The sequence below is a fragment of the Homo sapiens genome, chromosome X (assembly GCF_000001405.40).
Source record: "Homo sapiens chromosome X, GRCh38.p14 Primary Assembly".
Classification (NCBI taxonomy): Eukaryota; Metazoa; Chordata; class Mammalia; order Primates; family Hominidae; genus Homo; species Homo sapiens.
This window is the reverse complement of record NC_000023.11, coordinates 9,615,499-9,641,080: the sequence shown is the minus strand read 5'-3', so window position 1 is coordinate 9,641,080 and position 25,582 is coordinate 9,615,499. Positions and strand designations below refer to the sequence as shown.

The window sequence follows — 25,582 nt, the reverse complement described above, 5'->3', positions numbered from 1 at the left end:
CTCATGCACCCAATTATAATTAACTTGTCTGCATAATTGTAATTGATAATGTTGACAAGAGAGGTTGATTTTAGAAGGTGTCATCCTCGCCTGGTAAGACCCAGAAAAATTTGTTATAGCTCCTTCAGGATCCAAAATTCTCAGAAGGCAGGCCAGATGCAATGGCTCACACTTGTAATCCCAGCACTTTGGGAAGCCAAGGTGGGCGGATCACTTGAGCTCAGTTCGAGACCAGCCTGGACAACATGGTGAAACCCTGTCTCTACTGAAACTATTTTAAAAATTAGCCAGGTGTGGTGGCAGGTGCCTGTAATCCCAGCTACTTGAGAGGCTGAGGCAGGAGAATCGCTTGAACCTGGGAGGCGGGGGTTGCAGTGAGCCGAGATTGCACCACTGCACTCCAGCCTGGGTGACAGAGCAAAGACTCTGTCTCAAAACAAACAAACAAAAACAAAACAAAACAAAACAAAAACACAACCCAAAATTCTCAGAAGTCAGTAAAAAGGCAAATTTCTCATTTGGAATTGACTATGCAGCTCGCAATGATTTAATGATTGTCTGTCTACTACCTTCAACCTTCAGTAAGGAGAAAGACCGGGCACTTCCCCTGACAACATCATTTAAAACAGAAGGGGTTCCATTTTGGGAAAATGCAGTTCTGCTCCTCAAACGGATTTCAGGTACAAGGGCAAGGATCCAATGGCATGCTGGGCTGCTTACCTTATGGTGACTTCATGTATGGACCTGTGGACCAGCAGGCTTCCCAGCATCCGGTCATAAAAATGGGAAGCCGTCTGCAGGGACCAGCCTAGGGAGAAAGGGAAAGGTTTGAAACAAAAGACTTAAAAATCATTGGGGTGTGTTTACCTCTCAACCATCCCGTTCCTTTAGGTTTTTTCTTCTTCCTAATTAAAACTTAACACATTTTATTGGTTCTTAATTTCTGTCTTAGTCCATAGCACAGATTGTAAGGTTTTGTTTGCAAAGTGAAAGAAAGGAGAAATTAAAAGTGGCCGGTCAGGCATTATGCATGTAGAAGTTCTGAAATAAAAGAGTCTCAAAATAGATAAAATTAATGTTAGCTCAGCTATTGCTACTGCTATTATTTAAAGATAATTTAAAGATTTAAATTAATTTTAAATTACATTAAATTTAAAGATAAATTAAGGTTCCCTTGAAATATCAGTTTTTGGAACAGGGCCTTATTCAGCTGATACATGAACCTGTGCACACCCTCGGGAGAAGACAACACGCTTTAGCTAAACATTCCCCATCGCTTGGGCTAGCTTTCCAATAACTCTACCAGGCACATTTGTGTGCATATATGCATCCTCATGTACTGTGCTCATAAAAACACACAAACGGGTCAGAATCCTTTCTCCTCCGGCTCCTCTAAAATCAAGAAAACCAAAGGCACCCACTAACGTCTCAACTTTTCATTTACTCTTCAGACATTTCTGTTTCACAAGTGTTCCATTTGCACTGATTTATGAGGAAGCCAGGTTTATGGCTCATAAAATGATAATCCTTTATATCAAAAATTGTTTTTATTTCTCAGTCACTATAAACACTAATCAGTAAACCATTTACCTAATGATATTTACCTTATAAAATTTCTTTGGTTGTGAATGATTCCTGCCTCCTAGAGAGTATCAATTATCCTCTATCATCTACGAATTCAAGAACTAAGGAAATTAAATGTCCACCATTTTCTCTAAATTCTTATTTAATAGTCTTCAGTGATAATAAAAAGGTACCAGGTTTAATATAATTGAAGTCCACAAGTGAAGCTATGAGTGAAGGTGTTTCTTATTAGGGAGTTTATATAGAAACTCAAGTGTTTTAAGGAAATTCAAGCAAATTATTCCCACTGAGTCATGTTTATAGTTATGTTGTTTAAAGGAAGGAGATTAAAAAAAAACCTACAAGCAGGTTCACAGGCCCCTAAAGTGCATTACAGTACATTGAAAACAAAAACCATAAGGATATTCAAGATGAAAGTAATAACCAGGGCAATTTGTAAAAAATCTACCACTGAAGTAAAATAATGAGAGTGAAACTAAATTCATCTGTAACTCTGAATAGAAATGAAAGGGCACCAGGGAAGCAGGCACAAAGGAATCTTGATTTTGCTTATAAAATATACTTTTAACTATGAAAAAAATCTGCAGTGGGGATGAAACAGGACAATACTCCTTATAGTGAGCTGGAGAGACCAAATTACTGTTTTCAGGATTGGGTTATAAATTACCAGGGGAAAAAATAGCCTTATGATGAAATTGCTAAATACCATAAAGTATCAAAATATGAGCAGCTGTCACCACAATAAGTTCCAAATTGCTTGTAAATTAAAACATTAAAATCCACAATAATTCAATAAGTAATTAATATACAAACAGCTCTTATTACAAGCTGTTCAGAAGAAAGCTTGCAATCAAATTCCTATTCTTTGGTCCAAAACAGATGGTAACCCACAAATGAGAGTCTTGAAATTTGAGATTATCTCTTATATATGTTGTTAAATTCAATAAGTATAATTAACTTATCATCTGTGTGTGATCAACACAAAAATAGGAATTATGACTTTGGTTAATAACATTCTTCTGGTTATGAAACATGTCAAAAATAATTAGTTTATTGCTAGAAACAATACATTTAAATGAGAAATCAGACCTTCCAACACCTGGTCATTACTGATTTCCCCATTATTAGTATGCAAATAGAACCACAATAAACAGCCCTGGCAAGAAAGTTTACATATTGCCAAATATTTGTGTGAAATACAAACGATTTTAACAAATGCCATATGCTGTTTATTTTTACAGCTAAATAAATGCTGATATGTGACAAATATAAAAGGGATTCTAATTTTCTGGTAGCCCTCTGTTCTTGGTGTGGTGTGCCATGCATGTATAGTGACAGTCCCTCCACATTGAACATGGAGAGGTTTTGAAGGGGCTCTCTAAGCTGACACAACACAGCATGTACCTGCTTCTCCAAAGAAAGTAGGTTAGAATAGAGCTTGCAGTGCTACATACATCTCTTCAAAACACTGAATTCAAACACTGTAATCAAATAAAATACAAGATAATTTAGAAACTGCACATCCACCAGCCTGCTCCTCCCCCAAAATTTCTTTTTCTTTTAGTCACACAAGCACACCTCATTAAGAGACCCCAGGTGTTCCACTACTGAGTTCTTGCCAATGGTAGGTGAGAGGAGCTGGGAAAGGATGTGCACAACTTGTGGTCATGGGGGTTGCTTGAGAGCCTGTCTGACCCTTAGGAAGGCAGGATAGTAACACAACAGGAACCTGGATCCGCCGATGCTCTTGGGGATTTGACACCTACCCTTCTGGGACTACCGCCTGCCTTTGTCTCAAATTGCTGTATTTTGATGTTTAGCCTATTCCCTAAGTAGAATACAGAATCCCTGGGTGATGATCTCAATTTTCCTCATGGTATCCGGTGTTTCCTTCGGTCACACCATCCATAACACGCATTATACCTTTTCTACCCGAACAGGAGGAAGAGTCCTTTCTTCTTCAAGTTCATTTCTACAGTCCAGGCTTGACACATAACACATACTTGATTAAAGTTAGCTTAATGAATGAAAGATGTACCATATATAATCAATCAAAACATTACAGTTGCTGATCACACACGTTAATACAGATTTCGGAAGTCCTCTACACATTCATTTCTTCATCATGTCTGCCTTAATTCTATTGTGAAAAATCAGAATAAAATGCAGCCTTTTCACATGGATATTGGAATTCAGAAAGATTCCTGTGGAGTTATTTTTACTGGCATCTTTGAGGATGTTCTTGGGGGAAGCACGAAAATTTCAAGAGATAGTTTTAAAGAAAAGGACACAGAATGGTCTGCTATTGTTTTCCGATGTTTTAGAATTCTAGATCTCCAAGTGCAAGCACCAGTTATCACCCCATTGTGTCTGTATTTATGAGTAGGCAGTCTTTGTGTATTTCCTTGAACTGGTGCCTCACCGACACTGTCATTTCACTGTTCGCTGTGTCTGGAAATAGACCTAGGCATATGTGAGCCAGCCACCTACAGTTCATTTTCCACCTTTTAATTCTTCACACAACTATTGTTTCATAGAGCTGAAGAGTTACAAAGGTCCAGCCAAATGTTGTCCAAACTCAATAGCACCCTCAGCTAAATTTCATCCTATATGCAGATCAGCTGGTTTGTTCCCATTCAACTATAAATCCTGTACATCACTTTTCAATCGTGCTTTGTGAATTCCTCTGCAGACTTGTAAAACCACTGTAAGGGATTTTTACATCGAATACAAGAAATAATAATCTAAAGCACTGAGAGACTCTTCTTTTTAATACTATGTTTTCAAATTCAGAAAGGGGCATTCCTCGAAAGCAGTCATTTTGAGAAATTATATTCTTTTCCTATCAGGAAAGAATTAGCAACTTTAAAGACTCCTCTTTTGATGCAGCCTTCAGAACCCATTCACCTAAGAAAAACCAGAACAGCACACCTCAGGCCCAACATAGACATTCCCCTGGACCATACATGGTTGTTGTTGTTGTTGTTGTTGTTGTTGTTGTTGTTGTTGTTTTGCTTTGTTTTCAGTTGGAATAAAAGTAACAACATAAAATTAACCATTTTATTATTTTTCTTTTAAAAAAATTCTTATTTTTTTTAAATATAGAGATGGAGGTCTTGATATGTTGCCCAGGCTGGTCTTGAACTCCTGGCTTCAAGTGATGCTCCTGCCTCAGCCTTCCAAAGTGCTGGGATTACAGGTGTGAGCCACTGAGCCTGGCCAAATTAAAGTGTACAATTTAGTGGTACGTTCAGATGTTATGCAACCACCACCTATGTCAAGTTCCAAACCATTTTCAATCACTTGGAAAGGAGTTCTGGTGCCCACTAAGCAGTCACTCCCATTCCCTCCTCCCCCAGGCCTGGTGACCACAGAATGCTTTCTGGCTCTATGAATTTCCCTATTTGGGGCACTAAATGAGATCATACAATATGTGACCTCTTGCATCTGGCTTCTTTCACTGAGCATGTTTTCCCAGAGCATCCATGTTGTAGCACGTTCCAGGGCTTCACTCCTTTTATGGCTGAATACTATGCTACTGCGTGGCTGAACCACGTTGTGTTTTTCCAGGCAGCAGCTGACAGGAACCTGGCTTGGGTCAACCATGCTGCTATGAACATTCATGTCCTTGGGGCAATGGCTAGCAGTGGAATTGCCTGGCATCGTTCTGCCTTTATCCTTCTTTACCTGAGTCTCCTCCTACCCAGGAATGAAAGGTGCACAGGATGGGCGGAGGGAGGCCAAGCTGGAGAGAGCCAGGACCTGGGGAAAGGAGCAGAAGGCCTAAGGCCAGCAGGCAGGGTGGCCAACAAAGGGGATGGATGCACAAGGAGGAGCCGGGAGCCTGCCCATGGAAGAGCCATAGCCAACAACAAGCGCATGCCAGAGCCCTGCTTGGCAAGCACTGTCTGTCTGACAAGCTCATGCTGTGTGCAGGGCCGCACATGCTCACTACCTGGCTGCCACTGCAGACTGAGCATTCCTCTACACAGATCAAATCCCTACCAAGCATTTGCCCAATGACAACAAAGGATGCACCATTTTCTGCTTGGAGCCAAGTTTTTTTTTTTCCCACTCAGAAGCATATGGATTACACATTTAATCCCAAATAAAAGCATGGGATTGGCATCACGTTTCTGTATTTCAATACAGTGTTCTGGAGCAGGGGAGACAGTGCCCGCTGCCGCCCCCTCCCCACACCCCCCGCCATCTCCCAGGGGATATTAGGCAATGTCTGGAGATATTTTGGGGTGTCCCAACTGGAAGTGGAGGTGCTACTGGCATCTCTTGATAAAACAGAATCAAATTTGTATGATAAAATTCCTTCGGGTGCTCGTGGCGAGGCCAGCACGGTACAACACTGACTGAGGCCCCCTGCCTACAGCCATACCAACTCAGCAGCCACAGGAAGGAGGCGCCGGGACACGGCCCCTCCAGCCCCCATCCTGCCTTTAGGTGGGCGGACATCTTGCCTGCAGCCTCGAAAGACCCCACGCTGGTATCACTCAGCTAACCGAGGCCAGCACTCCCGGCTTTCAGAATCTAACACTTTGTCACAGGCAGGTCGGAAACATACCTGGGCAAGGGGCCTTCTCAGCCAGCACCTCATCAAATGGGGGTAATAATTTGCAGAGTTGTTGCCAGGAAAAATGAGAACCAAGTGAACTTGGAAGCCAATCGACTGGAGTTTTAGAGTAAGTAGGGGAGTGTTTGCCAAGGCATGCTCTTCAGAGTGCCGTTTCTCAGGCTGTTTAGTAGATGTTTAGTATGTGTCATCTGAAAAACGGCTCCACACTTCAAAACAATTGGCAACACCGGGTTACATAAAGTTATTAAAAAATAATAGGCTGGGCGCAGTGGCTCATGCCTGTAATTGCAGCACTTTGGGAGGCCGAGGTGGGAAGATCACTTGAGGCCAGGAGTTCAGGACCAGTCTGGGCAACATAGCAAGACCCCATCTCTATTAAATAATAATAATAATAGCTAACATGTATATTGTACCTGTTACATGCCTGGCTCTGTTCTGAGAGCTTTGAGCTTGGATTAAATAATCTAATTAATAATTTTAAATATTTAATGTGCTTAGTACCATAAGTGCTTCTACAGCATACACTGTGTCCGACGGCAGTGGTGGTTTCCATGTGTACAGGAGCGTGTGAGGGAGCGCTGTTACTATCCCGTTCTCACACAGAGGGAACGGACACACTGACATGCAGCTCCATGTCTAGGTCCTAGGGCTGGGGACTGGTGGAGCTGGGGTGTGAATGCTTGCAGTCCGACTCCAGGGTTTGCATTTGTCACCATGAGGTTCTGCCGCCTTTTCATTTGCTGCAGTTTGCTAAAAGCTTTGATCAGCTATTGTGCGTCGTGAGTGCAAAGATGAAGAATTTAGGATTTACTGTGAATCCTACCTCCCACAACCTCACGGTGTATCTTCACTGACATATCCCAGGCCATACCAGCCAGTCATGCATCTGTACAATAAATGTCTAGTCGGTCCTCATGATTTCCTCCCAGCTCTGGGCTGCACGTACGTATCCTGGGCAGCACGTATCCTGTGAACCCCTCTATCCTGCCTTACTGCTAATGGACTTGTCCAGGTGTCTAAGTGCCCGTGCAGATGAGGATACGCCATGCTCAACGTGCTAGGGTTTGCCTGACTCTCCCCGGTTTCTCTATGAAAGACATCTCCACATGCTGAAATCCTAAAGATACTTTTCTGACTGACTCTGAATACCTCAGTCACTAAACATTCTAATAAGCTGAGATTTTACTGTTAAAAGACTATGTGTTCTCCAATGTGTATTTTTTTAAGACTCTGCAAGCTTGAAATCTAAAGGTGACAGTACTTGACTAAAATGAATGCAAGTGTGCCAAGATGGTAATAACTTATAAAAATACAAGTTACTTTTAATATCATAATAGTGTCAAGAAGCAGGGCAGTTCTGTGTGAGCCTCATCCACTGGGAATCAAAATTGGGCCAGCATCCTCATTTCTCTTTCTACTCACCAAACTATGAAAATGGGTATGGGGAGGTGGAAAGTCACAATGCATTCATTATTTCCTCATATCTTACCATCTCATCTTTTTTTCTTTTTAAATTCACTTTTGGAATAGTCTTGATCTAGGTGGATTATTTTTTACCACTGCAGTAAACCTCTGCCCTTCTTTTTCATATGTGCTCCTCAGAGGCAACTCTGAAGAGTCCCCTTCCTTTTAAAGTTGTATTTATGACATAAAAAAAGGTTCTATATTATTTTCTTAATAATCAATGACCAATTTTGCACACAAATTCCTTAGGCCTAACCTTTAATGTTCTTTAAAAATAAGCATATATGTTATAAGCAAACTAGAAGGCTATAAATTAAAAGCAAAGAACATCTTAAAAGAGTTTTCTTTTAAAACCAAGTCTGCATGATTAAATGATAAAAATTGCTTGTCCCATGTCTACAGAAGAAAACTACAGTTTGAATGTTTTTGAAATTAACATTTCAGTACTGCCATCTGTAAATGGTAACCCTGGGTATGCCATCAATTTCCCTTTAGTATGTTCATGGATCATTACTGTACAAAATGAGAGAGACAGATTGTGGTAATAGCTTTTATAGCTGAAACAAGCAAAAATGTTACTACTGGAGCACTCCCATAAAGCTGGCGGTTACACAGGCAATTGTTACTGATATCTTTTCCACAAGCTAACCGTGTTTGCATACCCTCTACATAATACCAGGCAAATGCCCAATTGCTTTCTCGTAACCCAACTCTAAAAGGTCCAAGGAGCCAATATGGAGTTATAAAAATATGTAAAAATAATAAACACTGGTTTTCATCAGTGTTTCTCTAACTGGTTTTAGTGTTCATTAATAAAACACTAGTACTGAGATGATAAAATATGTTACTTAAAACACATTTTGGCTGGGCGCAGTGGCTCACACCTGTAATCCCAGCACTTTGGGAGGCCGAGGTGGAGAGATTACTTGAGGCCAGGAGTCCGAGACCAGCCTGGCGAACATAGCGAAATCCCATCTCTACTAAAAATACAAAAAAGTTAGCTGGGTGTTGTGGCATGCGCCCGCAGTCCCAGCTACTCAGGAGGCTGAGGCACGAGAATCGCTTGAACTCGGGAGGCGGAGGTTGCGGTAAGCTAAGATCGCGGCCACTGCACTCCAGCCTGGGTGACAGAGCCAGACTGTCTCAAAAAAACCACAAAAACCAAAAACGCATTTTAAGGATTCCAAGATCAAATCAAGTTGTAAAACTCTCAGTTAAGGAAAGTAAAACAGATTCAAAACCCTAAACAAACTCCAAGCAGGATAAACAGCATAGAAAACCCCAACAAGACACAATCAATTTCTTGAAAATCAGTGACAAACTCTTAAAAGCAGCCAGAAAACAACCCAAAAGTTATATCCAGGGGAAAAATGATAGTAAAAACTGCAAATTTCTTGTCAAAAGCTATGCAAGGCAGAAGACAATGAAATCTTTAAAGAACTGAGAGGATGTATCAATGCAAAACTCTACACTCAGATGAAATATCTTTCAAAGAATGATGGCAAAATAAAGACTTTACCAAAGAAACAAAAGCAGAGAGAATTCACTTCTTGTAGACCTGCATTACAAGACAGACTGAAGGGAGTCCATGAAGGGGAAGAAAAACTTCGGATGGAAAATGTGGATTCCCACAAAGAAATGATAAGTGGCAGAAATAGTAAATATAAACATAAAAATATTTTCTTCTCTTTAAAAGAATCCTTTTCCATATAATTGACTTCTTAGTACAAAATTAATAACAACGTATTATGGTGTTTGTAACATGTATAAAAGTAAAACATACGGCAAATGTAGCACAAAGCACTAAGAATGGAAGGAGAATGAAAGCACATTGTTGTTGTAAGGCTCTTATATGTGAAGTAAAATATCTTTCAAACATAGATTGTGATAAGGTTAAACATGAAAATTGTCAACACTAGAGCAACACCCTAAAAAATAAAGCAATGAGTTATTGCTAATAAGCTTACTGTGAAGTATAGTCACAAAAAAGCCGCAATTTATGCAAAAGCACACAGGAACCGAGGAAAAAGGAAACACAGAGTAAGTGGTACAAAGAGAAAACAAAGAGCAAGTGGTAAATGGTATAACCACTCCAGCGAAAAGGCTGAGACACGAACAGCAGACACTGTGGGCTACTGCCGGGTGAAGAGTGCGAGGAAGGAGAGGAACAGAGACGATAACTATTGGGTACCAGGCTGAATACTGGGGGTGACAAAATAATCTGTACAACAAACCCCCCATGACACGAGTTTACCTGTGTAACAAACCTGCACATGTACCCCTGAACCTAAAAAGTTCAAAAATAAAATAAAAATCAAAGCAAAATAAATAAGAGGCCGAGATTGTGAAACTGGATTTAAAAAGCCAGAGTCTTCTCTATGCTGTCTATAACAAACCTACTACTTTGAATACATGTATATCGTTACTGAATATATATATATATATTATCCATATATCTCATATATGTTATATATTGATTATATGTTGTTGATATATAGTCTTTGAAAATATGAACAGCCAGCCCTCTGTATCCACAAGTTCTGCATCTACGGATTGAAAATATTTTTAAGGCCAGGTGTGGTGGCTCACGCCTCTAATCCCGGCACTTTGGGAGGCCAAGGCGAGAGGACTGATTGAGGCCAGGAGTTCGAGACCAGTCTGGACAACATTGTGAAACCCAGTCTCTACAAAAAATACAAAAATTAGCTGGGCGTGGTAGCTCACGCCTGTAGTCCCAGCTACTTGGGAGGCTGAGGTGGGAGGATCACCTGAGCCCGGGAGGAAGGGGCTGCAGTGAGCTTAGCAAGACCCTGTGTCAAAAAAAGAAAGAAAAAAAATATTTTTAAAAAATAAAAACAATACAATAAAAACAATTTTAAAAACAATATAACAATTATTTACATAGTATTTACAATGTATTAGGTATTCCAAGTAATCTACGATTTAAAGTTTACAGGAAGATGTGCATAGTTTATATGCAAATAGGACACTATTTTATATCAGAGACTTGCGCCTCCCTGGATTTTGGTATATACAGGGGTCCTGGAACCAATACCCCACAGATACCGAGGGATGACTGTATTCTATTCAGCTTACAGTTCTCCTCCTTCACAACTTCCTCCATTCCTCACGTCCTTAGGGAATCTGTGGAAGATATTTCGGAGGCAAAGAAAACATAAAAAGAAACGAAACATCGAGTGATTCCTGGACACTAAATGCAGATGCCTTTGGTAGAGAATTAATAAGCGAACTTAACACGACACGATGATGCCGGTCTGTTAGAAGGAGACTGGAGACAGCCAGACATTAGGCCCCTCCAGGAGACAGAGCATCATCAAACTGAGGTTGCCATTCAGCTGTTCACTTAAAACACCTTTATGGGACTTAACAAATATCCTGAACCCTGTATTAAATTATCCAGAAGATAACACCGGGAAGTCATGGGCCCTGCTCATGAGGACATACTAGAGCCAAGGAAGTGCTTGGACGGGGGTAGTAGACATGCAGGAAAGAGCGGGACTGGCATTCCAGAAAGCTCCCCACTGAGCCCCGTCCTGCTCCTCACTCCCATACAACCGGCGATCAGCGATCCCGAAGTATTCCACACTCACTTCCCATGTAATCCTAGTACGGTCTGTTTCTAGAGAAACCCTCTTAAAACTCTGGCCCCAACAGCCTGTCTGGTCCAATATCCTACACGCAACTGCCATGTTCTATCAAAGTTCTCCAGCACAAATGCTGCTACCGTTTTTTTAAATCAAGGAAAACGATGGTGTTTTGCTTCTTTCATGAACAAGTACATGAGCCAGGCATTTTAATAAATACACTCTGGTACACGTTACATGCATCTGATATGCAGAGAAACACACGCATACTCACTAAAAGCACTGAATAAAGTTGAAATATTCACAGTGCTCTCTATCATAATTTGTCTTGTTTGGCTATGCTGTTTACTATCCTCCCCCTTTCTGAAACTGAGATTAACAGATGGGAGATATACCTAGATATGGCAACAGAAGGGGAGAAAGTTCCAGAACCATGGAGCAGTGGTAGGTACACATTTTCTCTAAAGGGCCAAATAGCAAGGATCTTGGACTTTGCAGCCATCGTAGTCACGTGTACCTGGAAGCCACTGGCAATCTGTAAACAAATGGGTGTGTTTATGCAAACAGATGTGTATGTGTTCCAATAAAACTACCTACAAAAGCAGGCTGCAAGCCAGTTGGCCTGTGTGCAGTAGTTTGCTGAGCCCTACCTTAGAGCAGTATCATATTAGATTGATTAAGCTGTGCACTCCTAACACATTACTAAAGTAGAACAGATAACCTACTAATATCATCAAGGTGACCCTAGACAACTAACATGCAGAAGAAGAAGATCCGTATTCCACAAGTAGAGCAGGTTTGTCTTGGTTACTTAGAATGGCCCCACTGACAGGCCCACAGGTGCCTGAGGGCAACCTCAGCACAGGTTTTGGTCCCTGGATGCTTTCACAGCTGCCACCAGGAGTCTTTGGGGCAGTCATGCAACATCACTTTCTGTTAAGCTGATGCTTACAGAACACAAGCCCAAAACGCCTCGTAAAAACATCCAAGTCTGCCAGGCGCAGTGCCTCATGCCTGTAATCCCAGCACTTTGGGAGGCCAAGGTGGGAGGATCACCTGAGGTCAGGAGTTTGAGACCAGCCTGGCCAACACGGAGAAACCCTGTCTCTACTAAAAATACAAAAATTAGCTGGGCATGGTGGCACACACCTGTAATCCCAGCTACTTGGGAGGCTGAGGCAGGATAATTATTTGAATCCAGGAGGCAGAGGTTGCCAGTGAGCTGAGATCACGCCATTGCACTCCAGCCTGGGCAACAGAGCAAGACTCCGTCTCAAAAAAAAAAGAAAAGAAAAAGAAAAAAAAAGTCCAACTCTTCTGAGTCTTCAATATGTGAAGCTGTACAGACTAGCCTTGTCAGTTTGGAAATGACATCTTTTTTTTTAAGTTGCTATTAAAATTACAGAAGTAATGCATGTTTATATTGGGGAAATTTTCAGTGGTTCTCAAGCAGGCGTGATTTTGCCCCCCAGGGGACATTGGACAATGTCTGGAGACACTTATGGTGGTCACCATACGGAGAGGGTGCTGCTGGCATCCAGTGGGGGACGCCCAGGGATGCTGCTGAACCTCCTACAGTGCACAGGAAGGACCTCCCACAGATAGTTCTCCAGCCCTACATGTCAACAGTGCCACAGTTAGGAAACCCTAATGTAAAAGGAAAACATTAAAAATCTTCTCTTTCCAAGTCCTCTCAGTCTTAATGCACAGGCAGCCTCTGCTCTAAGCTTCTTCCACAAGTTCAGCAGAAATGTATTCTTAATTTTTACACAAACATAGCATCTTTTAATTGAGTCATGAGAACCACATATCAACTGTTTTCATTCCTAACATTCTTGAACAGCAAGGCTGGTTATGCATCTTCTAAATACAGTAACTCCTCACTTTCCCATTCAGAAAGAAAGAGTCTATTTAATATTATGTCCATTATATAACTGAACCATCACATCAGCCCTGTTTATTCTCATTTTGTAGATAAAGAGGCTGCTTTCTGAAGAGTGTAAGTGAACAATCTAGGCTGGCTTCACAGGTAACAAGTAGTAGGATTTGAACCCCAAGTCCTGGCTTCATGTTGGGTGCTCTCATTGTTTTAGACGAAAGCAATTCACAATTTACACTAATTTATATTGAAGGGAGTAGTAACTTACTTCTGCACAATGAGAATAAACAGGAATTGGGCAACTGAAACACAATTATTGGGGAAGTCTTACAAACAATTTCCAATGCACAATGTATCCATCACAAATCATTCTAACCCCTTCATCTTGTTACTCTTTAACACTTTTAGTTGGTGTGAAATTTATGCAGTCACTTGGGCTGTACCTACAAACAACTGCCTTCAATTAATTTTTGGATTTTCTATGATACTTTTTTCCTGACTCAGATAAGTCTTGGCTATAGTTAGTCCACAGAGTCCACAATATTGTAGCTGGAACAAAAATGAGTTATCACAGGGTTTTGCTTTTCACTCACATGTACATCTCTCTCATTATGTAAAATTCAGATTCATAGATTCTTAGATCAACACTTAATATATTATTTATAGATGAGGAGACCGAGCTCCATGAAGACCAAGTAGGTGGGTCATTCCTCTCACCAAGAAAGCAACAGAGTGCATGTTTAGATGAGTGAATCAATTTCACTTTTGATCTGTGCAATTCAGTTAACTTTTCGAGAATGAAACCTGTGCAATTCCCAGATACCCTAATTACTGTTAAAATCCGTACATTATTGGTGGCTCCTGCCTTCAATATGTAAATGCTTCCCTAGTTGCATTACAGCTACTGGAAACTTGCAAAACAACTAGCAACAATATTCCTAATATAAATGACTACAGAATCCTAGTTAAATATATACAATGCTTTTTAAAAGTGTGGAACCTTACATCAGGCCTAGTTTTGTGTGACTACAGCCGCTGAATAGGAATATTTTTCAATTCATAAAATAAAAGTTGCCACCCTTGTAAGAATTCTGATTCCTCAGTGTCCTTTCTTGATATGCGACACTGATAACTAAGACTCAAGGTCTGGGTGACATTCAATCCCCTAAAAACCAGGGCCCAGAAAGACATGTAGTTTGGCTCTCTCTGACACGATGGCTAAATAGTGAGGTTTTCTTCTATCTGGCTTTTATGTGCCTGAATAGCAATGATGCTGCTTTATGCTCATGGGCCATGGCCACAAATAGGCAGTTTACAGCATGAAATCATCGGGAAAGCAAACACTTCAGGGATTTCACTTGAAGCAAGACCAAGAAATCTATTGTTTCATTAAAAACCACTTCTACCACGATGAAGCACTTGGACACAAACCCTGTGGGGCGGGCAGGTACTACTGACCTCTGTAAACTAACGGCACAGGCTATGGAAGGACAGTACACTGCATGGAGTGTCAGCCAGTGCAGGGCCTAGCATTACCTTTGTCAAAAAGACTTCCGTGTCTACTATTAGAAAGGATGACCGAATCTTGAAACAGAAAAAGAGAGCTCACCATTTAAAAAATTTCCAACAGTCAAATATCTTTGCTGACTGGTGATCAGAATTTCCAAACTACTAGGGGACTCTGATGGTCCCCTGTGACTTTAGTGTCTGGGCATGGGATGCTGAGGTCTCAAAAAACATACAGAATCTCATCTTACCAGGTCAGGAATATGTATGTCCAAGGATATTGTGGTACAAAGAGACACACGCGACACGTGTCATGCTTCGTGTTACATGAGTTTAGTCTTCCCTAACACCCTGCCCCTCACTGCATCACCGTCCCGACATCTCAAAGACAAGGAGACCTTTTACTACATTGCCAGGGAGATTGGAATCCAGGAATGATCCCAGGTCGTCTGACCCTAAGTCCCATCAGCTTCCCGTTACACCACATGACCTATCTTAAAATAAAAAATAAAAACAACCAAAAAAGGGTAACCGCCCAGGCTGGAGTGCAGTGGCATGATCTCGGCTCACTGTAACCTCCGCCCCCCCGCCGGGTTCAAGCGATTCTCCTGCCTCGGCCTCCCGAGTAGCTGGGATTACAGGCGCCTGCCACCGTGCCCAGCTAATTTTTTGTATTTTTAGTAGAGACGGGGGTTTCACCACCTTGGCCAGGCTGGTCTTGAACTCCTGACCTCGTGATCCACCTGCCTCAGTCTCCCAAAGTGCTGGGATTACAGGCGTGAGCCACCGCACTCGGCCTAGTTTGCATTTTCTTTTATCTTACCTACATCTTGTTTGCACATCTCAACTACACTGTACTCATACCCAGTGTAAGCCATCTTTCTCTCCTCCGGATTCCAGTATGGCCTTGTTTTCCAGAAATTACACTCTAACAATGCAAGCTAGCAAACTCTGAGAAGCAGCATGATCCTGGAGTGAGGCTGTTCTCGGCTAAATCCCAGAATTTCGTGCTGAGGGCTGCATGTCCCCCAGTCAGTAACTTAACCTCTCTGTGCCACTAAGTGAGCACAATGCTTTATAGTTACACTGTATGAATTCACATATTAAAATATAGGTAAAGCCACATATGTAGGCTTGTAAAAAAACAATATAACCACACAGTGGGAACAGCTACACTCACTGGTCATTGGAATGCTGTTGTGTTCCTTTTGTTCTATTAATATTCTCAGACCTTAAAAGCAAACATGAAAGCAAGATGAAACTTTTATGTGTTTTTACCACAATTAAACACATAAAAATTTAAAAACCAAGATGAACCTGCAGACGTTTTCACCAGTCCCTCCCAAAAGGATAAATTTGAGCCATTTTTTTAAAAGGAACTTAAAATAGTCATACAAGTATCAAGTGAGTGAAGCTGTAGTTTCAAATGGAACAATATTTATCTGTGGCTTTCTTAAATGGAAACATATTACTTGGTTCTCCAACTGAATTTTTTAAATGAGCAAGTGTGTTTGAGAAAGGAAAAATGAAAAAGGTCAGATGAGAAAAAAAATTCAGACTAGATTGAGCTCTAGCAGATGTTAAAATTCTTAAATTTTTTTTTGTAAAGAGAACATTAAAATACTTTAGCAGCTTCCGTATCTAAGTAGCATTGTTCTTGCCACATTTAGTTATACGCATACCTTATTTAACAACGTCTTCATGTCACATTTCCCAAATCCCGCCTTTCTCTTTTCTACTATTCCCACTTTACCAGTCTAATAGAAAACAGGCTGCTTCTTCATGCAAATATCACTTCAAACACAATTTCAAAAGAGAAAACACGATGCCCCATTTCCTGCAAAACCCAAATACAAGAAAAATAGAATTTAATTCTGCTTCCTGGTTTAAACATAGCCTGATTTGTATTGATCCTGTTCAAATTTATCTCAGGTCCTAAGATCACCCTCATGAATAAAATAAAATAAAATAATAGGTTAAATGTAAATTATATAGGCACCTACAGTAGAGTTGGGTGTGTATATTAAGAAGTTCTGAGGCTGACATTCCTGACAACAAATTAAACACTATGAACCAAGTGTTGCCCTTAAATGATATGTTGAAGATGTCCTTTAAGTGAAAGAAGCTAACGGAGGAAACGGATGCTATGTGAATTTCATTTTTAACAAGTCACACTCAGCCCTCACTGCAGAGAACAGCTCTTTGCAAAAACAACAACAACTTGAAAACACTGCAGTTATGACATTTACATGACTTTACAGAAATATCACAGATTAAAAATAGAAGACTGCCTCTTAGTTGGCTATAAACTTCGTTCCAAAAAAGTGTATGATAAAAAGAACAATTTTGAGAAGTCTTCCTCAGTTTGGTTCCTCCACTATACAGAGATTTATCTCCTAGTCAATGGGAATAGATAGTTCCTTAAAAGGCATGATAGGAAGCCACACTTTGGAATTATAAACAGGAAAGGAAATGTACCTGAAATAAGCAAGATGCAAATGGGTTGGAGTTTTTACACTCTGCATCTCCTACTGAAGGAAATGCCCCCTGCAGGCTTAAGCAACTGGGATTGGTGCTTACATGCAAAAAAGTGACAAATAATGTGTAGGATGGTGTGAGTAATTAGGTGGACAGCTTGATGCACCTACTCAGACCCTTGGAAAAGCCCACGGAGTTGGGCAGAGCAGTCAACAGACGTAAGTAAGCTTTGTCGAACTCCTTATCATTTTAACCAGGTTTGCAAATGTGTTTTGTTTGTTTGTTTGTTTGAGACAGGGTCTCACTCTGTTGCCTAGGCTGGAGTGCAGTGGTGCAATCACGGCTCACTGCAGCCTCCATCTCCCAAGCTCAAGTGATCCTGCCACCTCAACCTCCCAAGTAGCTGGGACTACAAGCATGCACCACTATGCCCCGCTAATTTTTGTACTTTTTGTAGAGACAGGGTTTCTCCATGATGCCTAGGCCGGTCTCGAACTCCTGGGCTCAAATGATCCTCCCACTTCACCCTCCCAAAGTGCTGGGATTACAGGCATGAGCCACCATGCCAGGCCTGCAAATTTGTTCTCGAAGGGCCATAGCAAATCCCACTCCATGGGCCATACAAAGTCTGCTCCATAGACAACAGACAATGGGTATAACCGTGTTCCAATGAAACTTCAACTATGTAAAGTGAAATCTGAATTTCATTGAATTTCCATGGATAATGACATATTATCCTTCAATTTTTTTAGCCATCTGAAAATATTAAAAATATCCTTAGCATGTTGCCTGTACAAAATTAGCAAGGGCTAAATTTGGCTTGCAGGATACAGTGGGTTAACCTTTGCATCAAATCATAGGAGTCACGGTTGGACCCTACCTTTATCACATCTCACAAAAACTTAAACCTTCAGAAAAACAGTATGGCAGGCCCTCAAAAGAGTAAACAGAATTACCATGTGATCCAGCAAGTCCACTTCTAGGTATATGCAAAGGAACTGGAAGCAGAGACTCAAACAGACACTTGTTCCTCAATGTTCACAGCAGCATCATTCACAATAGCCAAAAGCTATTTTGGAATAGCAACCCAAATGTCTATGAACGGATGAGTGGATAAACAACATGCTGTTTATACGAACAATGACATATTTGGCCTTTAAATGGAATGAAATTCTGTTCAGGCACAGTGGCACACGCCTGTAATCCCAGCACTTTGGGAGGCCAAGGTGAGCAGATCACTTGAGACCAGGAGTTCGAGACCAGCCTGGCCAACATGGCAAAACCCCATCTCTACTAAAAATACAAAAAACAAACAAAGAAACAAACAAACAAGCAAACAAAAAACACAAAAAAATTAGCAGGGTGTGGTGGCGCGCACCTGTAATCCTAGCTACTCAGGAGGCTGAGGCAGGAGAATTGCTTGAACCTGAGAGGCGGAGGTTGCACTGAGCTGAAATTGTACCACTGCACTCCAGCCTGGGTGATAGAGTGAGACTTAGTTTCAAAAACAAAAAAAAAGAATGAAATTCTGACACAGGTGTGTGAACCTTGAAGACGCTACACTAAGTGAAATATGCCCGATATGAAAGGACAATTAATGTATGATTCCACTATATGAAGTCACCAGAGTAGTCAAAACAAGAGCTAGAAAGTGGGATGGTGGTTTTCCGGGGGTGTGGAGATGGGGGATGGAGAATCAGTGCAGGAAGATGAAAAAGTTCTGGAGGTAGATGGTGACTGTACTTAATGCCACTGAACTGTATGCTTACAATGGTAAATGTAATGTTATGTGCATTTTACCACAAACAAAATTGCAATGAAAATTGAAACTTAAAAGCACATATGTCTTCCAAAGACCCCTCTGTTGGTTAAAGAAAAAAAAAAAATCAGAAATATCGAAACAGTTATGAGAGTGAAAATGAGCATCGACCAGTTTGTTTTCAAACTAGCAAGTTAAGAATATATTAAGCCAGATTCAAACTCTTAACTAAAATTAAAAATGTACAGGACTTTTTTCTTTTCAGATTCAAAAATGTCATTCTGATATACTTTCCAGTAGAGTTGTGGCCTTTCCTAGAAACAGTCTCAGAATCTTGATAGTTTCTGGAACATCTGAATGTTCGTCAAACTTAGAAATTCTCAGGCCAGCTTCCATCCCTGGAGAACTGAGCTACGTGGCAGCAGAAGGGCACACTTCGGTTCATTAAATTTGTATTAATTTGTGTCGTTGGGAAATGGGCTGGGTGTTCTTGTTAAATCAAGGTTAATCACAAAATTCATTCAAAAAATTAACAAATGATGCTGTTATACGATGTTCAGGACTGTGCTTGTGGTTGTTAGTAAAAACTTCACAAGTCTAAGAAAAACAACAGATATTCAGGTCTAATTTAGCAGAGTGCATCATTTCTCTCTACCTCAGATGAAAACTGCAGAGTCAGAAAAAAAGGACAGGAGGATAGAAGTTAAGCAAAATTCCTAGTCTAGGCCATCTCCCTTATTTTAAAAAGGTGGGGAGTCAGTGAGAATAAGACAGTGATATTAATGTATATTCTCTGCAGAAGTCTCCAGATGGCTGGTTCCCTATATTCTTATCTCCTAAGAGGTTCCAAGTCCCTGTGAAAATGCAAGGAGGTGTTAAATGATTTTGGAAATGCTTTGGGCACCCTGAGTTTCTGAAAGGCATCTTCCCGACCTTTGAGTGCCCCTCGCTGACTACACCGCCATGGGTCTCTCCAGTGAACGAATCTAGTCTCCAGGTCTACATCCCAGATGTCTCCAGCCCCCAACCTCCATAGCTCCTCACCTATCCCTGCAGGGACTGCATGACTTGGCCACTTGAAGGTCCAAGCAGCATCTCAAACGCAACACGCCCACAGCAGAGACCTCCACCCACCCAACCATGGCATCTCGTCTCTCTTCTAGCCTGTAGTCTCCATAAGTCACACCTCCCTCCCACTCCGTGCTCACATGCCACACCTTCACTCCCCTGGCAGGACACATGCACGTCCGCTGACATTCTGCACTGGAGTGTCCTGAATCTGTCCTCTCCCCTTCTTGGCTCCGCTGAGCTATGCTAGTGGAAGGTGAGGTTATCTCCCTGCCTGGGACCCAGTGGGAGTCATCACAGTCCGTCCCTCAGCCAGCAGCCAGCCACTGGTTAGTGTGGTAGGAAGCTGCTGGGGGGTTTCAGGTCCACACTCATCCTCTTAGTATTATGGCCGGCAAAGCACTGTAGGCTTTGTTCACCGTGCACACCTCTGCTCTGTTGGTCACTCGCTCCACCATGCTGGCCTGGCCTGTGTTTTCCCTCAGTTTCCTGGGTGCCTGGCCTTCGCATGTGCTGGCCTCTCCACCTGAAACTCTCTTCTCCTGGCTCTTCCGGCTGCATCTTACACACTTCGGTTCATCCATCTCTTCCTCACAGGAGTCTTCTTACCTCTAATGTGCAAACCCCTCCAACCCATGTCACCTTGTTCGTCTCTGTCACAGGATGTGTTACTGTCATCAGATTATTTTGTTTCTTTGTTCCTCTGTTTGCTACAAGTCTCCCAAGTAACAGGCAAGCTCCATCAGGGCAGGGGCCTCTGCAGCCACAGCACTTAGCTTGGAGGGTGCCTGACTCAGGAAAGAAACTTAAAATACAGCTTGGTAAGTATGAGTTCCCGGATAAATATACAAACTTCAGAAAGTTCAGAAGTCAAGAGCCTGTAGTGGACAGCACAACCCCACGGAACACTGCATTTTCCTTCGTGAGGACTCACAGCATCTCTAGGTCTTGCAGGGCTTTTACAATAAGCATGAACATCAACCGTAAAGTGGATGGAGAAGTAGAAGCCACACGGTACCACATCCCTCCCAACTTACATGGGTAGAGCAGATGGGCTTGCTGTGGGAGCCACTGTCCCCATTTTGCCTACATTGAAGAGATTAATAGCACCATAATGTAGAGCTTACAACTGAGTTAGTCTGACACACAGGCAATTACTAGACTTCACACATTACTGGGAGGTCTAACAATAAAAAGATAAATGGCAACTAGTTCTTGTAAAGGCGTCTGCCTGTTTCCCGCCAGACACTGATTTACGTGTGCACAGCAGCAGGGAGCAAACCTGAGGCAGCTCAGGTAGGTGACGTGGCACTGGAGAAGAAACTGAAGGACAGACACCCAAGCATGAGGATGTAAGCTCGCAGCTAGAGGGCGGCACTCCGGTCCGCACCTCCACCTGTCCCCATCGCTGCCTACACCATCTCCCAAAGCCGATCCAAGTCTGCTCCCAGCCCCATTTCACTCAGTGTCCTCACTATTTTAACTACAAACTTTAAATATTACACAGACGGATGAAGTACGAGTACACACAGGGTCACAGCCTTTTTTCAAAATGAAAATAACATTGAATGTATGAGAGACAGGGTAAGTGTGAATCAGTTTTTACTTGAGGACAGGTGTGGGCAGCAAGACCGGGAAGGTAGAGAGGGGAGGTATAAATCTAGAGAGATGTACAGTGAGATGTCTGTGCAGCTTTGCTTAAGTTAACTGGAAACTAGAAGCCAGGAGGGATGCACCGCGGGTGTGGACAGTGCTGGGATCACTGGGGCACTCCAGGCTGTGGGCCATCCTCAGAGCAGAGGCCTGGGCTGGCCCACAAAGTATTGGCAGATGACTGCATATTCACATGCTTTCGCTTAGAACAAACAAACACAAAGTAAGACATGTATGTATCAGTTTTTATGATTCCCAGTCCACCAATGTTCAGGCCAGACTTGCGGGGGGTGGTGTCTCACTGTCCTTTCATAGAAAACTCAAGTTATATTTGTATGATGCTTATCTGTTTAGAATGTGCATAAATCCATAAGTCATATGGGCTTACATCATGAGTTTCTAAACAGTTAACAGTGATCATTCATATTCTAGAGTCCTGAGAAAGCCCAAGGTTAAACGTCTATCACTTTAAAATGTCAAATGAACACAAGAAAATCACTACCGTACACCAAACACCCCCAATGCTTTGAAGACCCTTCATGAAATTCAGCCATCTAAACTCTGAACCTACAACATGCCTTAATTAAGAGTATTTTCACTACAACCAGCGTCTCAATATTACCAAGGAATATGAAGTGGAACTCTGGAAATAATACTCCATTCCACTGACTAGATTAACTAGCTAATAAAAATTCATTTATGCACATAGTTTTTTTCTTAGATATAGACAAAGTGAGATACATCTACGAAGTGATAAATTTTTCAACAGCATACAAAATACTCAGAAAAATTCTATTTTATTTATTTATTATTATTTTTTGAGACAGTCTCACTCTGTCGTCCGGGCTGGAGTGCAGTGGCACGATCTTGGCTCACTGCAACCTCCGCCTCCCAGGTTCAAGCGATTCTTCTGCCTCAGCCTCCCAAGTAGCTGGGATTACAGGGGCGCGCCACCATGCCCGGCTAATTTTTTTTGCATTTTTAGTAGAGACGGGGTTTTGCCATGTTGGCCAGGCTGGTCTTGAACTCCTGACCTCATGTGATCCACCCGTCTCGGCCTCCCAAAGTGCTGGGATTACAGGCGTGAGCCACCGCGCCCGGCCAGAAAATATTTTAAAAGCCCACCTAATACTGATCCTTTCATCTAGTTCCTCACCTACCTCTACCTTCAAGGATCAGTTTAAAACTTATCTCCTCCAGGCCGTGAAGTCAAGCCTTCTTGATTCCAGGAGGCATGGCCTGATCATTTTCTCCTTGGGCTCCAGGGTATCATGCATGCAATGCTCTGAAAGAACCTACTTCAGTGTGCTCTAGTGGTGTCTTTACATGTCAGACGCCGCCTCCCAATGCAAGACTAAGATCCTTATATTTGTATGCATTTACCTATTTATTCCAGAGGTTCTCAACAGGCAATGATACTGCATGCTCCCCCTATGGCATCCTGGGACATCTGGCAATATCTGGAGACATTTTCAGTTGCCACAACTGGGGGAGGCGGTGCTACTGGTATCTCCTGGGTCCTGGGATGCTGCTAAACCTCCCACCGTGCACACGGCAGCCCCACCACAACCATCTTCCAGCTCCAGCTGACCACAGTGCAGAGGCTGAGCGGCCCATTCTACCCACCTTATTGCCATGAGAATGTGACTGTTCCCTCAAACTCAGTTTTCACTTTCTACACAAGTGTAATCTTTCTGGCTCCTCTCTTATCCAAAACACACCTTTGTGATACTGGCAGGAACTCAGCGTTGCTTATACTTTCCGGCACTCCAAGACTCTTATGGGCATCACTGAAGGAAGTGTGACCCCACAGGTCAGCAGTCTAATGCATTAATGTTTCTGTTTTCTGAAGCTGCTGTGTCATCCCCTCCACAAATAACCCTCATGTCCCCACTCTCTGGGTCTCCCCAGATCAATTCCCATTGAGAACAAATATACTCTCCTAAATTGAACTAGAATAAAACACTGTAGCTATGCCATTTGGTTATATTAATTAACAGGTGCAGTAACATTGCTATCAATATGCAGTAATTACTACACAAATGTGTATATATGAGAGCACCTTCTCCATCACAACAAAAAGCATGGGTACGGGTGGTCTGAGTCAGAGATCTCAGCGAACCTGACCTTCTACTCTCAAGAGACCATTTTCTACGTGGGCCTGCCCTGTTCTGCTCCCTGAGCGCTTCCAGAGAATGCTCTGTGGAAGGACGGTGGGCAAGGGGAGCAAATGAAGACCAAAATGATCAGAGACGCACAATGGGCTCAGGACTTATAAGGCATCTCTTTGAAATGCCGTGGCCCAACCATTAACACTATCTCATAATGCCCACCACATCAACAACTAGCCTATTCAGCCAGAAACGAATGGGTTACATTAAAAACACGGTGCCTTGGAGCTGTTCACACTATCTCACCATTCCCACTGGATTTCCAAGGCTCCAACTAGTGAACATGGTGTCATATGGATGTAGTCCACATGGAAGGACTTGTCATATATGATTCTGGGCCCCTGTGCACATCACGGGTAAAAAAGTTCACCATAAGTATAAGGAAATAATTCATCACAAAGCAGAATTTCCAAGGGCTGGGTCTGTCTGCATTTATCTCTTCTTAATTTCTATGGGGTAGAAACCTCCATTTAACAGTATCATCTTCACCAAATGGAAATTCACCTCACAGGACAACAGGAGCATTCAGAACCCATACACTGAGGAAACACAATTATAATGATTTACAAAGCTCCCTGGAAAGCAACATACTGTAAAAGGCTTAGTAATAATAAAGTTGTCCCATTTGCATAAGTTTTAACAGCACCATCGCTGTAGGAAAACATAGTGCAAATTTTCCTTATTGGGTCAGAACGTGTTATTAAAAGAAAATCAGGGACTTCTTATTAATCAGCTCAATTCTCTAAACCACTATTCACTCCATTCAACCTGCGTGAGTATAAGCTTCTCAGTAGTTTTAAGCGAGTTCATGCCTAGGGAAAAGCATTATGTTTTCTAATTTCTACACAAACTCCAGGAGGAATCAATTTCTCTGTACTGTCTTTTAATTGGCAAAAGTACACTAAAGAGTGTTTTTTTTCTTTAGAAAAAAATTGTTTTTTCAACCAAGTACTTTATATAAAGGGAAATGTGGCTTTACATATTTCTCTAAAACAAACAAGAATTTAAATAAACCCTAGATTTCTAATTACATGGCTCAAAATTACAAACACACGTTTCAAATATAATACCATTTAAAAATATTCAATAGTTTAGCACTTTTACTGTATTCTTTTCTGGTGGGTGGGGGGTACACACAATTGTTCTTTGGCAAATACACCAATCTGAAACTTACAGGACACAATCTAATGCAAATACCAAAGTGATTTAATATGTTCTCATTGTTGGCATCATAATACCCAAAGTGTCATCCGTGGGGTACATTTTTATCCAGTAGCACGTAAGATTTGTGTCTGGTCTGTTCATGGCTGTCTTCCCTGTGTTTCACATAGTAAATGTTCAATAAATACTTGCTGGTTCATTCAATGTGTTATGGAAACATGACGTGAATGCAAATGACTGAGGATTCTAAGTGTTCACCAAGAGCCTAATATGTGCAAATGTTCTGCAAGGTGCTACGCAGTGAAGAAGGATTCACAGAGCTGGAAGACAAAGGCCTTCCCTGTGCAAAAAGCTCCCAAGATAAACAACATGCACTCCTGTAAAAAGATACCTGCCAAGACCATGTGAGATCATCTCTGGCCAAGGATGGGAAAGGGGGTGAAAATGTTCACAGTGAAAATCTTCACTACTCCCTCTAATCATTAAAACACAGTTCATAGTCCCATCTGTGGAAAAAGAAAGAGGACTCTGGTTACAGGGCTAAAACTCAGCATCGGTAATGAGCAAGAGACAGGATATACTCAAAGCTGGGCATGAAAGGTAGGACAGAGGCGTCCTTTGTAGCAGCTATTAGTACACCATCTATGGCTCTGTTGTCCACAGCCT

The 25,582-nt window shown here is 41.8% G+C and overlaps 1 protein-coding gene across 4 annotated transcripts in view, besides 1 other annotated feature; it reads right to left on the bottom strand.

The window, feature by feature from the left end:
- The window catches only part of TBL1X (transducin beta like 1 X-linked), a 256,446-nt gene that overhangs the window by 78,660 nt on the left and 152,204 nt on the right, over positions 1-25,582 (bottom strand). For all 4 annotated transcript variants that reach the window (NM_001139468.1, NM_001139466.1, NM_001139467.1 and 1 more), the window contains one exon: positions 721-808. The gene's annotated coding sequence lies outside the window, so the exon portion shown is untranslated. The remainder of the gene's footprint in view (positions 1-720; positions 809-25,582) is intronic.
- Positions 4,935-5,434: an enhancer, noted in NCBI's record as "H3K4me1 hESC enhancer chrX:9603687-9604186 (GRCh37/hg19 assembly coordinates)". NCBI's record gives its function as "activates a minimal SCP1, AML or CMV promoter by ChIP-STARR-seq in primed H9 embryonic stem cells {active_cell/tissue: H9 hESC(primed)}" and the evidence as "EXISTENCE:reporter gene assay evidence [ECO:0000049][PMID:30033119]".